Below are 12,187 nucleotides of genomic sequence, written 5' to 3' on the forward strand. Positions count from 1 at the left end.
AGAAATAAGCTAAATATGAGATTTGATGCTAAGCAAATATAGTTGTGTTGGGAGAAAAGTTCCCCCAACTTGCCTGGTGCAATGGTATTACCTCCCTTGTGAAGTTCCTGGCACTATAGTAGGTACCCAGCCAAAATAAGACCCCTTCCTGCTTCCACGTCAACCTCAGTAGCCAAGGTTTCGTAACTCCTGCCTTTAAACTGAAGAAACTGTATCAATGTCTCGTAATGTAATAGTTCCATAGCTGGCAGTAAAGAAAACCAAACTTAAAGAGCCACTTGAGCAGAGGAGATAGACCAAATCTGTTGTATTGGTTGGCATTCAGGGAAAACTCAAAGTCAAAAGGCACCATCTCAAGACCATCCAGAAAAGCTCGTTGGGCCCTTGATCCAGAAAGCACCCAGTTGGTCTCCTAGAGAGCACTGTAGGGATTCTGAAATCATTACACGTGGTTTTTAACCCAGCCCCAGTTGGATGCAGATATAAGAACCAAGAATTTGCCCTGTAGGTGTATGACGAGTTGCTTCTTCATAAGTTGCGTTGAGACCCAGCAGGCAAAGACACACCTGTTCAAAGCTAATATTCTGTTAAACAATAACCAGGGACTACTCATGAAGTTCCTCCAGATGTCTGAAGACTCCCAGGGGCGAAAGGCCCCAACGGAAAGGCCTGGCAGTTGTTCAAAAGCCACACTGGATTACTACAGCTTCCAGCCGCTCAAATTGAAACTGCCCAGGTCGAAGAGTTCTAGGAGCAGTGTAGTGACCCTTTAACTACATGCTACTTTAACCTGCATCTTCCAAACTCTTTGAATTTTTTTTTTCTTTTCCAGGACACGAAAAAAATTCAGAATAATAAAAAAAAAGAATAGCAGTAACTACTTTTTCCTGTGTTACTGCTTGTGCCAGACCCTGTAGAAGTGCATAATATGCTACGTCAACTCCATCAATATTTCTTCATAACAATCTGCAAGGAAGTATTATTGTTCTTATTTTACAAATGAAAAACCTGAGTCTCAGAGAGGTTTGGTAGTTTGCTGAAGTTCACGTAGCTAACAAGTGGCAAAGGTAGGATGTGAATTCAGGATGGATTGGCATGAATACCCACGATCTTTACTCTCAGTACACAGCTTCATACTTACATGCAGGGTTACAATGTGCTTGGTAAGGCAAGAAATCTCTACCAACACAGGATTTTTTTGAGGATTAACTAAGAAAACATAAATAAGCACACAGCCTGTTGCCTGATACACGTTAGGAACTAAGTAAATGCTTATTTTGTTTTAAAATCATTACCCTACATTCTGGAAAATGTGCCATGGAATGGGACGGGCCCACAATGGTTTTTCTATAGAGTTTTTAGCGGGTTCTGGGGACAACTATTATATATTTTAAAATAGCAACGCTCACATGCTCCATAGTAAATCAGTTGGCCAAGTTAAAAATAGATTCTAAACATAGCAAGAGCAGAAATTCAATCTAAGATACTAAGTCATGGAAAGCAGTTGACAGTGGTTGCAACAGAGAAAAGGAAGCGCAGGCACACACTGATTCTACATGTGGATAAAATTCTCCAACCTCCATTTCAGGTTTGTTCTATTCTCTATAGCAGAAAACATGCACACATATATATGCATACATGCATATACATATGCATGCAAATAAATAAACTAAGATGACACATTCTATTTATCTGCAATAGCACCATTTACAAACCTATTAATTTTGAGATTTTGGTACTTATTAGCACGTACTAGATACACTACAACAATATATAGTTCCTCAACATTTTTAGGTGTAAGAGAGAGGATGGTTAATGTTTAAAATATTTGGGGTGCAGATACACAGATGGCTAGACTGGTAGATAACTAGAAAGGATGGGGACAGAAGCTATATACCCTCTGTGCTCAGTCAATTTACAGTGGCAGCCTTAGAGAGTTGGGTTAATGCTGCCATTCTGTCATTTGAAACCCCGGGAACTGGTATGCCAGATAAAACTGCAATCACTGTGCCAAGGACTCAGGAAAAGGCGTGGAGCTTAGGTTCTCCCTCAGCCTCCTACTTTTAAACTGTTGTTTGGAGCACACAATTACTTTCTCTCAGTTGCTAGGGTGGGTGCTTCAGCTGTGGGTGTCACTATTTAGGGAGGAAGCCATGAAATGTATATCCTTAAATCACATAGTCTTGTTCCATGTACGTCAAGAAGAGAATGACTGAGGGATGTCTATTATAAACTGGAGTAATGGCACATCACACCAAATAAAACTTTCCATGGGATACTAACATAAAAGCAGATCCATTATAAATATAAAAGAAGAATGATACAGAGAAGATCAGCATGGTCCCTGAGCAAGGATGATACATGAATTCATGAAGCTTTCCATATTTTTAAAAACACCAAAGCAGGCCGGGGCGGTGGCTCACGCCTGTGATCCCAGCACTTTGGGAGGCCGAGGCGGGTGGATCATCTGAGGTCAGGAGTTCGAGACCATCCGGGTCAACATGGTGAAATCCCCTCTCTACTAAAAATACAAAAAATGAGCCAGGCTCGGTGGCTCACGCCTGTAATCTCAGCACTTTGGGAGGGTGAGGTGGGCGGATCATCTGAGGTCAGGAGTTCGAGACCATTCTGGCCAACATGGTGAAACCCTGTCTCTACTAAAAATACAAAAAATTAGCTGGGCGTGGTGGCACGTGCCTGTAATCCCAGCTATTCGGGAGGGTGAGGCAGGAGAATTGCTTGAACCCGGGAAGCAGAGACTGCAGTGAGCCGAGATCGCGCCACTGCACTCCAGCCTGGTCGACAAAGCGAGACTGATTCTGTCTTAAAAAAAACAAAACAAAACACCAAAATAACAACAAAAAAACCTACAGAAAGACTTATGACACAATTGATAATTTAGGATCAATAACTTTCTCCTTTTTTTAAAAACAAAAGCTTGAAATATATTTATTTGTAAAACACCATGTGAAATAGAATAATTGAGGATAAAAACACAGGAGAGTGGTTAGCAGTGCAGGTGTTGGAGTCAGGCTACTTGTGTTTGGTCAATACTAACTGCAGGTCTTTGGACAAGAAGTCTCGCTTCTCTAGGTCACGGTGTCCTAAAATGTCATAGTATACACTTCATAGAGTCATTGTGGCTGTTAAAGTCCTATATGCTAGCCATGATCCTAGCACATAGCATTCTAAACATTAGCTATTACCATTTTCTAAAAGTAACAGAGGCAAGAGATTACTAAATACTTGAGATAAGCGGATTACTGTAATTGAGGACTGATTTTCCTAGAAGCTAAGGAAAAAAAAAAGGTTTTACTTTCTGACAAAGAAACAATCAGCATACATCAGTGAAGACTGCCCAAACTTAAATAGGAGATTAGTAAAGGAATCTTTGAATACAGGACATTGCATCAAATAGCAGGTATCGCAATGACAGCTTTGCACACCGCAGAAATAATTGTTTACGTGTAGTGCCTGCTGTCCACTCTCTAAAAGAGCTGAGGGGGTAGGGCACTATATTGTAACTCATGTAGAGGAACTGAGACATATGCTCCAAATTCTTTGCCTTCTGACTTCTTATGGTTAGGACACGGAAAAATCCAGAAAACTGAACATATGAAACTTGCAAATGACTGATATCTTAAGTGTATGTTCGGCAGAAGCGGATCATGCTTTATTCATAATTAAGTTATCTAAATTTTTGGCTCAACAAGTATTTGTTTCCGACATTGAACAAAGGTATATGGCTTATAAGGATGAATAAGACGCATTATTCTTTTTGCCCTTATATGGTCCACATGAGGATTAAAGAAACACCACATGCTGGTCAGGCGCGGTGGCTCACGCCTGTAATCTCAGCACTTTGAGAGGCCGAGATGGGCTGATCACCTGAGGTTGGGAGTTTGAGACCAGCCTGACCAACATGGAGAAACCCCATCTCTACTAATAATACAAAAATTATCCGGGTGTGGTGGCGCATGCCTGTAATCCCAGCTACTGGGGAGGCTGAAGCAGGAGAATCGCTTGAATCTGGGAGGTGGAAGTTGCAGTGAGTCAAGATCATGCCATTGCACTCCAGCCTGGGCAACCAGAGTGAAACTCTGTCTCTGAAAAAAGAACAAAAAACAAAAACAAACAAACAAACAAAACATGCTTTAGATACTTGAGGTAAGGGAAGGAAATCTCAAATGGAAATAAGAGTCAAATTTCTAAGCTGGGCACGGTGGAGCACACCTGTAATCCCAGCACTTTGGGAGGCTAAGGCAGGAGGATCGCTTGAGCCCAGGAGTTCGAGACCAGCCAGGGCAACAGAGTGAAACTCCTGTCTCAATAAAATAAATAAATAAATAATGAAAAAATGTAAAAAGAAATTTCTGCTGTCCTCCCAGATGCAAGGCCAGTTGGTGCTGCAGGGAATAAGGTTGCCTAAAGATAGAATCATGACAGCATTTTACTTAGGAAAGAGCTATGGATGAACTTGAATACTTGGATAAGTTCATGGTTAATATGTCAGATTACATATGCCACATAATATAAGGAAATTGTTATACCATGAAAAAAGTTAAGACCGGTTAATTCAGCCCTTCTCTTTATTTGCAAATTGGCCCTGTAAACTTTGTCTAGTTTCAGGAACTGTTGGAGGGATTTTGGAATCAGATTTAATCGCTCCTGGTCTGTGCTACTTAACTTGCAAGCATTTCTCTGATATAGTATTAGGTTGGTGCAAAATTAATTGCGGTTTTTGCCATTACTTTTAATGGCAAAACAGCAATTACTTTTGCACCAACCGAATACTTTTCTTATTGTGCTTTCTTTCACCTGTAGAGTCCAAGGTACTTGTTCATTAATTGAGCCAAATTATTTAGGTTTAAAAAAAGAGTTCTGGGACACAGCTCTCTTCGACGTGGAGATGGATGTCTTGGATGGATGAATATATTAATTAATCCAGTATTTCCTGAATTTTTTCAGTTATACATTATGATATGGTTTGGATTTCTGTCCCCGCCCAAATCTCATGTCGAATTGTAATCCCCCATGTTGGAGGAGGGTCCTGGTGGGAGGTGATGGGATCATGGAGGTGGATTTCCCCCTTGCTGTTCTCGTGATAGTGAGTGAGTTCTCTCGTGATCTGGTTGTTTAAAGGTGTGTAGTCCCTCCCCCTGCTCCCTCTTCCCCTTTCTCCAGCCTCATCACAGGTGCTGCTTCCCCTTCACCCTCTGCCGTGATTGTAAATTTCCTGAGGCCTCCCCAGCCATGCTTCCTGTACAGCCTGTTGGACTGTGAGTCAGTTAAACCTCTTTTCTTTATACATTATCCAGTCTTGGGTAGTTCTTTACAGCAATTCGAGAATGAACTAATACACTTTACTTCTTTTTTCTCTCTCTCTGTCTCCTCCCAGGCTGGAGTGCGGTGGCATGATCATAGCTTACTGCAGCCTCGAACTCCTGGACTCAAGCCACCCTACTGCCTTTGGCCTCCCAAAGCGCTGAGATTACATGTGTAAGCCACTGTACCTAGCCACCCTTCACTTCTGATTTTTGTCAGGTCCATGTTACTTGTACTATTAGATACCAACATTTTCTTTAATTTGACATAAATTGTCCAATTTTTAAAACATAGTCTCATCGTAAGCAATGATATCTGTGAAATCTGAGTTTGAGGCAGATGTTTAAATATACCTTAAAATAAAAACAACTATATAAATAAATTAAAATCATGAGCCACATAAAATAGCCTTCCACTCACTTTGGAAAACAAAGTATTAATCAATTAATAAAATTTTGAACTGGAAAGGTCTCTTTTAGATTTTCTAATCCAACTCAGAGTTCCACAGAGATTCAGCCAAAGTCACCAGCTGAGGGAAGAGTTGGGAGTAGAGCCTCAGTCTACGGTTTAGTGTGAAAAGTTTAGGGCTTTCTTTACCATGTTTGTTGCAAATTATGCCCCCAACTAGCTGAACAGCTATTTAAATATAAGCATTCCTATCAAATACAATGATTTTAGTTTGGGTATAAATGGTGCCAAAGTAATTCTTCTGTTGGTAGCTAATAGGTCTGACTGCTTAAGCTCACTAAAATACTTATTTTCTTATTTGCGGAAGCAATAGCTCTCTCTAATTATTTAAAAATTATCAAATAAACTGGATTCAGTGGTGTGTGCCTGTAGTCCCACCTACTCAGGAGGCTGAAGTGGGAGGATTGCCTGAGGCCTGAAGTCCAAGACCACACCCACACATACGTGCGTGCACGGGTGAGTGTTATAGAATAAAAAGAATGGGTTACACTAATTCATTTGTTTATTTTTTTTTGAGAGGGGGTTCTTGCTCTGTCACTCAGGCTGGAGTGCAATGGTGTGATCTCAGCTCACTGCAACCTCCATCTCCCAGGTTCAAGTGATTCTCTTGCTTCAGCCTCTGGAGTAGCTGGGATTACAAGTGCACACCACCACGCCCAGCTAATTTTTTGTGTTTTTAGTAGAGACGGGGTTTTGCCATGTTGGCCTGCCCGATCTCAAACTCCTGACCTCGTGATCCGCCCACCTCGGCCTCCCAAAGTGTTGGGATTACAGGCAAAAGCCACCGTGCCCAGCCTACACTAATTTAAAATGTTACTAATAGGGGAGACCGGTGGGGAGGCAGGCAGAAAGGAGGTATAGGGGAACTCTACATTTTGCTTAATTATTTTGTAAAGCTAAATCTGCTCTAAAGATAAAGTCTAATAGTAAAAGCAAAGATAGAATGATATTGAAGCATAGTCCTCTTTAAAAATAGGAATGTGTCTAGCTGAGATCACTCTCTTCTACTTTATCTTAGCAATAGTGTTTTGCTACGGACTATGATGAAGCATTAAGGGCCAGGAGCGGTCAAGGTTGGACAGTTTGGCCCATTTATGGTTTAGTACAGATATGGAGGGCATGTAGGTGTCTAGGCCCTGGATTGGAAGTGAAATTTGCCCTTAACATTATCAACACAGTGATCCTATTTCACATTTTTGATCCCCAAATTCTTTTTTTTTTTTTTTTTTTGAGACGGAGTCTCGCTCTGTCGCCCCGGCTGGAGTGCAGGGGCGCGATCTCGGCTCACTGCAAGCTCCGCCACCCGGGTTCACGCCATTCTCCTGCCTCAGCCTCCCGAGTAGCTGGGACTACAGGCGCCCGCCACCACGCCTGGCTAATTTTTTGTATTTTTAGTAGAGACGGAGTTTCACCGTGTTGGCCAGGATGGTCTCGATCTCCTGACCTCATGATCCGCCCGCCTCGGCCTCCCAAAGTGCTGGGATGACAGGCGTGAGCCACCGCGCCCGGCTGATCCCCAAATTCTATTAGTGTTATTACTAGGTGATACTTACGGAAAATAGACAATGATTATCCTAAGATTTCAAAGCATAAGTATTAAGTGGTAAAAATGTCATACCCGTTTTAAAGAAAGGGGGGCGTAGAGGCCTAACATTCCTAAATGACACTGGGGCAAAAATAGAAATAAAATCCAGGTGTCTAGGGCCTGGCTTTCCCATCGTTGCCGTTCATTGTTAAAGTGATCATTAAACAATAACAATACAAAGAAAGACAGGGTCATAGTCTTATGAGCACTCATATTTTAAAGAGAAAGGCGTTAAAAAGAAGCTATACAGGAGCCTCAATTCTGCATAGGCATGGTTTTTTAAGATGATTTAGGGAAGGTTTTGTGTTTGTTGCCATTAGTTTTAAAAGTATTAAATTCTTGGTTATATCCTTTTTTTAAAAAATTGTATTTGCCCTAATCATATAACATGAAAAACGTACGATCAAGGCAAAAAAATAAAGTGCTAGGTTTAGTTATTTGGTTTCAAATAAGCCACAACTAGTATGAAATTTCTAGTTAATATTCTACTTAAAGGTCTACAAATTCAAAGGCCTTGAGACCCACTTAAGGCACCGAAATAAAATAACTTAGTGAATAAACTTAGCCAAATTACTTAAATCCCTAATCCCTTGCTTTTTACAAATAGGAATACCTCACCACTTGTCTCCTGGGAAAGATACTATTAGTCTATTCTGATGACACTTCTATGGCATTTTGGATTGCCAGTTGATAATTTTCAAAAAAGGTAGATACAAACCATTGCTGGGTATGCTGTGGCCATGATGAGGGCATAGTATACATGCTGTATACTATTTGAAGGAGAATGTAGTTTTGGTGGGTGAGTGTCTCAAGTTTGTGGGTCATTGTTACCAGCTGTAAAAGGACCTCAGCAACTGCAGAGCAGTTATCAGGTTTGTGTACTCCCTGTTGGACCTAGAAGACAGTCCTGCACCTAGTAGGTGCTCCAGAAGCATTTTCTGAATGCCGAGTGAATCGTCCCCCTCCAAGACTGGAGAGGGAGGCTAAAATGAACAAGAGCCCCCCCAGGAGTTTGTGCCTGCCTTCCTTTTACTACTTGGTGAGGAAGGATTACGAATATGTAAGAAATGAGAGGCACTAGAGAATGAAGTAAACCCTTCAACAGTTACCCAGCTGTCCCTTGGCCTGACTTCCCCTAGCTCCATGCCCCAAATGCAACTCACTTTTCCCTTCCATCCAAGCCTTCCTAAAAATAACTTCCTTTTCTAACTTCTCACTCCTGTCACCACTATTCATTTCCAAGTCTCACACCTTCCCTTACCTCCTTGAAAATATAGCTGACCTGAAAAAAAAAGGCGGGGCGGGGGGTAAGGGTGGGGGAAGAGTGTAGAGAAAAACCCAGCCAAACTGTGAAGATGTTTTACTGTTACGTGTTTGCACTGCATTGCGTAGTGACGTTCTCTGTTGAAAATGGGGCTGCAGATGCTTGTTCTAGGGTAGTTACTAGGTAATGTGGGACTTTAGGAAGGAGTTAGCTTCCAACTCACAAGAATATTTAGTCTCAACTGATTTTTATTCTTAAGCATCTTATTAAGTGTAAGTGTCCATAACCCAGGCCTGCACAGTCAAGGTCAGGTACTGCATTGAGTCATTCTCTGCTCAATTTTTTTCCTTGCCCCACCTCTACTGTAACCTTTTAAAAAAATAAGATACAAGGTTTCACTGTCACACAGGTACGCAGTACAGTGGCAAGATCATTAACCTCGAACTCCTGGCCTCAAGCAATCCTCCTGTCTCTCAGCCTCCCAAAGGAGGCATGAGCCACCGTGTCTGGCTCAATTTTCTGGTCAATTTTAAGGCTCAAAATAGTATTGTAATTGCTCATAATATAAAACATAGTACAAATTCAGTTTTTACTACTTATCTGCTTGTTGAATGCGTATTGCAATTTAAAAATCCACATACTGCCGGGCACAGTGGCTCATGTCTGCAATCCTAACACTTTGGGAGGCTGAAGAGGGTGGATCACTTGAGGTCAGGAGTTTGAGACCAGCCTGGCCAACATAGCAAAACCCCGTCTCTACTAAAAATACAAAAATTAGCCAGGCATGGTGGCGCATGCCTGTAATCCCAGCTACTTGGGAGGCTGAGGCAGGAGAATCACTTGAACCCAGGAGGCAGAGGTTGCAGTGAGCCGAGATCATGCTACTGCACTCCAGCCTGGGCGAAAGAGAGAGACTCTGTCTCATAATAATAATAATAATAATAATAAAATAAAAATAAAAATCTACATACTGTATACATATAACTGTTTATTCAGACCCAGGATATTTTTCCTTTGTCCTGTCAGAGCCTCATGGACTACCATTCATCTGGGGAAACTCTGGGAAGGAAAATTAATTATAGTGCTGGCAGCATTGGAATGGTCAGGTGACAGAGAAGCCACGTGTGCCACGTGTCAGGCATCTCCTCTTACCATCTCAGAGGGACTCACGAACTTTCTGAATCAGGAGCCATGTTTGTAAAAATTTTCTAACATTCCAGAACCTTTATAATATTTCTGCTTGCTAATTTTATTATCCTATCTCTTTCCCCATAGCTCAGCAGTAAAACTCTTTAAATAATTTTTTTTTTTTAAAAAAGTACATGATTACATTCAAGGGTAACAAGGAGGGTGGAAGCTAGAAAGATTGGGGGACTCTAGCCCCCTTCACAGTGCCCCTCATCTGTCACCCCATTGGATGGTGTATGCCTCCCTCCGGGGGAGAAAAGCAGGCTAAGCCCCTGGGGCTTGATACACGGAGGAAAAGAAAAAATCCAGAGTAAGATTCTGAGGCACAACCTGGAAGAGACTCTTGGGGCTGAGCAGTAGAGAGGCTTTGCCTTTCAGAGAAGCAATTTGGGGATCTTAACTCTTGGTTTCCTCATGTTTCATATGGAAATATTAGTATATTTCTTACAGGGCTATTGTGATGATTACATAAGATAGTCCATGTAAAATGCTTGACATACTTCCTAGAACACAGTAAATGCTCCAAACATTACCACTATTGGCCCTCGAGTCACTGGAGGGTGACACGGACATAGTCCAGAAAAAGTAAATCAAGGCCTGGTGCGGTGGCTCACACCTGTAATCCCAGCACTTTGGAAGGCCAAGGTGGGTGGATCATTTGAGGCCAGGAGTTCAAGACCAGCCTGGCCAACATGGTGAAACCTCCATCTCTACTGAAAATACAAATATTATCTGGGCGTGGTGGCTGCATGCCTGTAATTCCAGCTACTTGGGAGCCTGAGGTATGAGAATTGCTTGAACCCAGGAGGCAGAGTTTGCAGTGAGCCGAGATGGTGCCAGTGCACTCCAGCCTGGGTGACAGAGTGAGACTATGTCTCACAAAATTAATAAATAAATTAAAATTAAAATCAAATCAAGCCACAAGTAAGAGAGAACTATAGATTGCCTCCATGTCCAAAATGGTGAATCAAGGCCGGACACAGTGGCTCACGCCCGTAACCCCAGCACTGTGGGAGGCTGAGTTGGATGGATCACTTGAGGTCAGGAATTTGAGACCAGCCAGAGCATGGCGGCACACGCTTGTAATTTCTGCTACTCAGGAGGCTGAGGCACAAGAATTGCTTGAACCCAGGAGGCAGAGGTTTCAGTGAGCCGAGATTGCACCACTATACTCTAGCCTGAGTGACAGAGTGAGACTGCCTCAAAAAAACAAAAACAAAAATGGTGACTCATCTTCTTATCTCCATTTTACAGATGGGGAAACTGATGTTACAGAGAGGAAGTAACATGTCCAAAGTTTTCTAGCTAATGAGTAGTGGACTGAGATTCAATCCTGGACCCCTTTACCTCCTAAGACCATTTCCTTGTTCTTCTATACAGCATTATCTCCTGATGTAAATGTTAACATAAATGAAACCTAATTTCAAAGATTTATTTTTGGAGCTGGAACTAACAAAACATTCCAAAATCAATTAGCAGCATATTTTTACACTTTTCCTCTATTTTTACACATGAGGACGAAGAGGTCGTGTGAGCAACCATAAACACGTATTGAATCTTTGGATCAGCTACCATCCTTCACCTTTAAGGTTTTATTTTCAATAAATAAAGAACAGAGACTTAGCCTGGCAATAAGTGTGCCTGAAAAATGCTGGTTGGGATAGGAAGTGTTTAAGTAATGAATTAAATCGTGACTTGCTGTGTCAAGGTCTATATTAAAGAGAAACATAAAGGAACATGTGCTTTTGAGAGAAACAGGGCCAGCGTGTGATTTTTCCAAATGCTTTAAGAGCTGTGGTTTCATGTAAGTGTTACTCGCAAGCTGCCCACAAATGCTGCCACCCGGGCTTCCTGTGCCGGGTCTCCCTGGAAAGCCTGAACGAGCTTTGGCACTGAAAATGATCTTGTCCAGGGCCAAGAATTTAACACAATTAAATTTCTCCCTCTTGACTGAGAGGCCTGAAACCTAAAGCTGCAGAAAGGCGGGAAGGAAAGAGAAGTATGAAGGCGAGAGCCCACTACTAGCTCATGGTAGAGGAGTAAATTTCGCCTCCACTCCTGCCTTCCAAGAGCCAGCATCCGGCCAGACGTTTAGTTTCCCTCTTTGTCTTTCCAGACGAGGACAAAGTGCATGCCACTATCTGGTTCTTTCAAGTCTCTAAGAGTCTCTGCCAGATGCTTGGGTTGATATTTTGAAGCAGTAAAAAAGAAAGAAAAGCAGAGAGAGAGGTGACTAATTCTGTGGAGAATGTTTGCTCTTAACATTCTTCTCTAAATATTTGGGTTATTGAAAGGATCTAACAATATCTTATTTTATAAAGAAGCAGAAAAACAGTGATGGCTGGGCCCAGTGGCTC

General features: G+C 41.9%; 1 pseudogene; it reads left to right on the plus strand.

Annotated features, from left to right (window-relative positions):
• Positions 2,284-2,389, plus strand: RNU6-947P (RNA, U6 small nuclear 947, pseudogene; annotated as a pseudogene).

This window comes from Homo sapiens, chromosome 1 (assembly GCF_000001405.40).
Source record: "Homo sapiens chromosome 1, GRCh38.p14 Primary Assembly".
Taxonomy (NCBI): domain Eukaryota; kingdom Metazoa; phylum Chordata; class Mammalia; order Primates; family Hominidae; genus Homo; species Homo sapiens.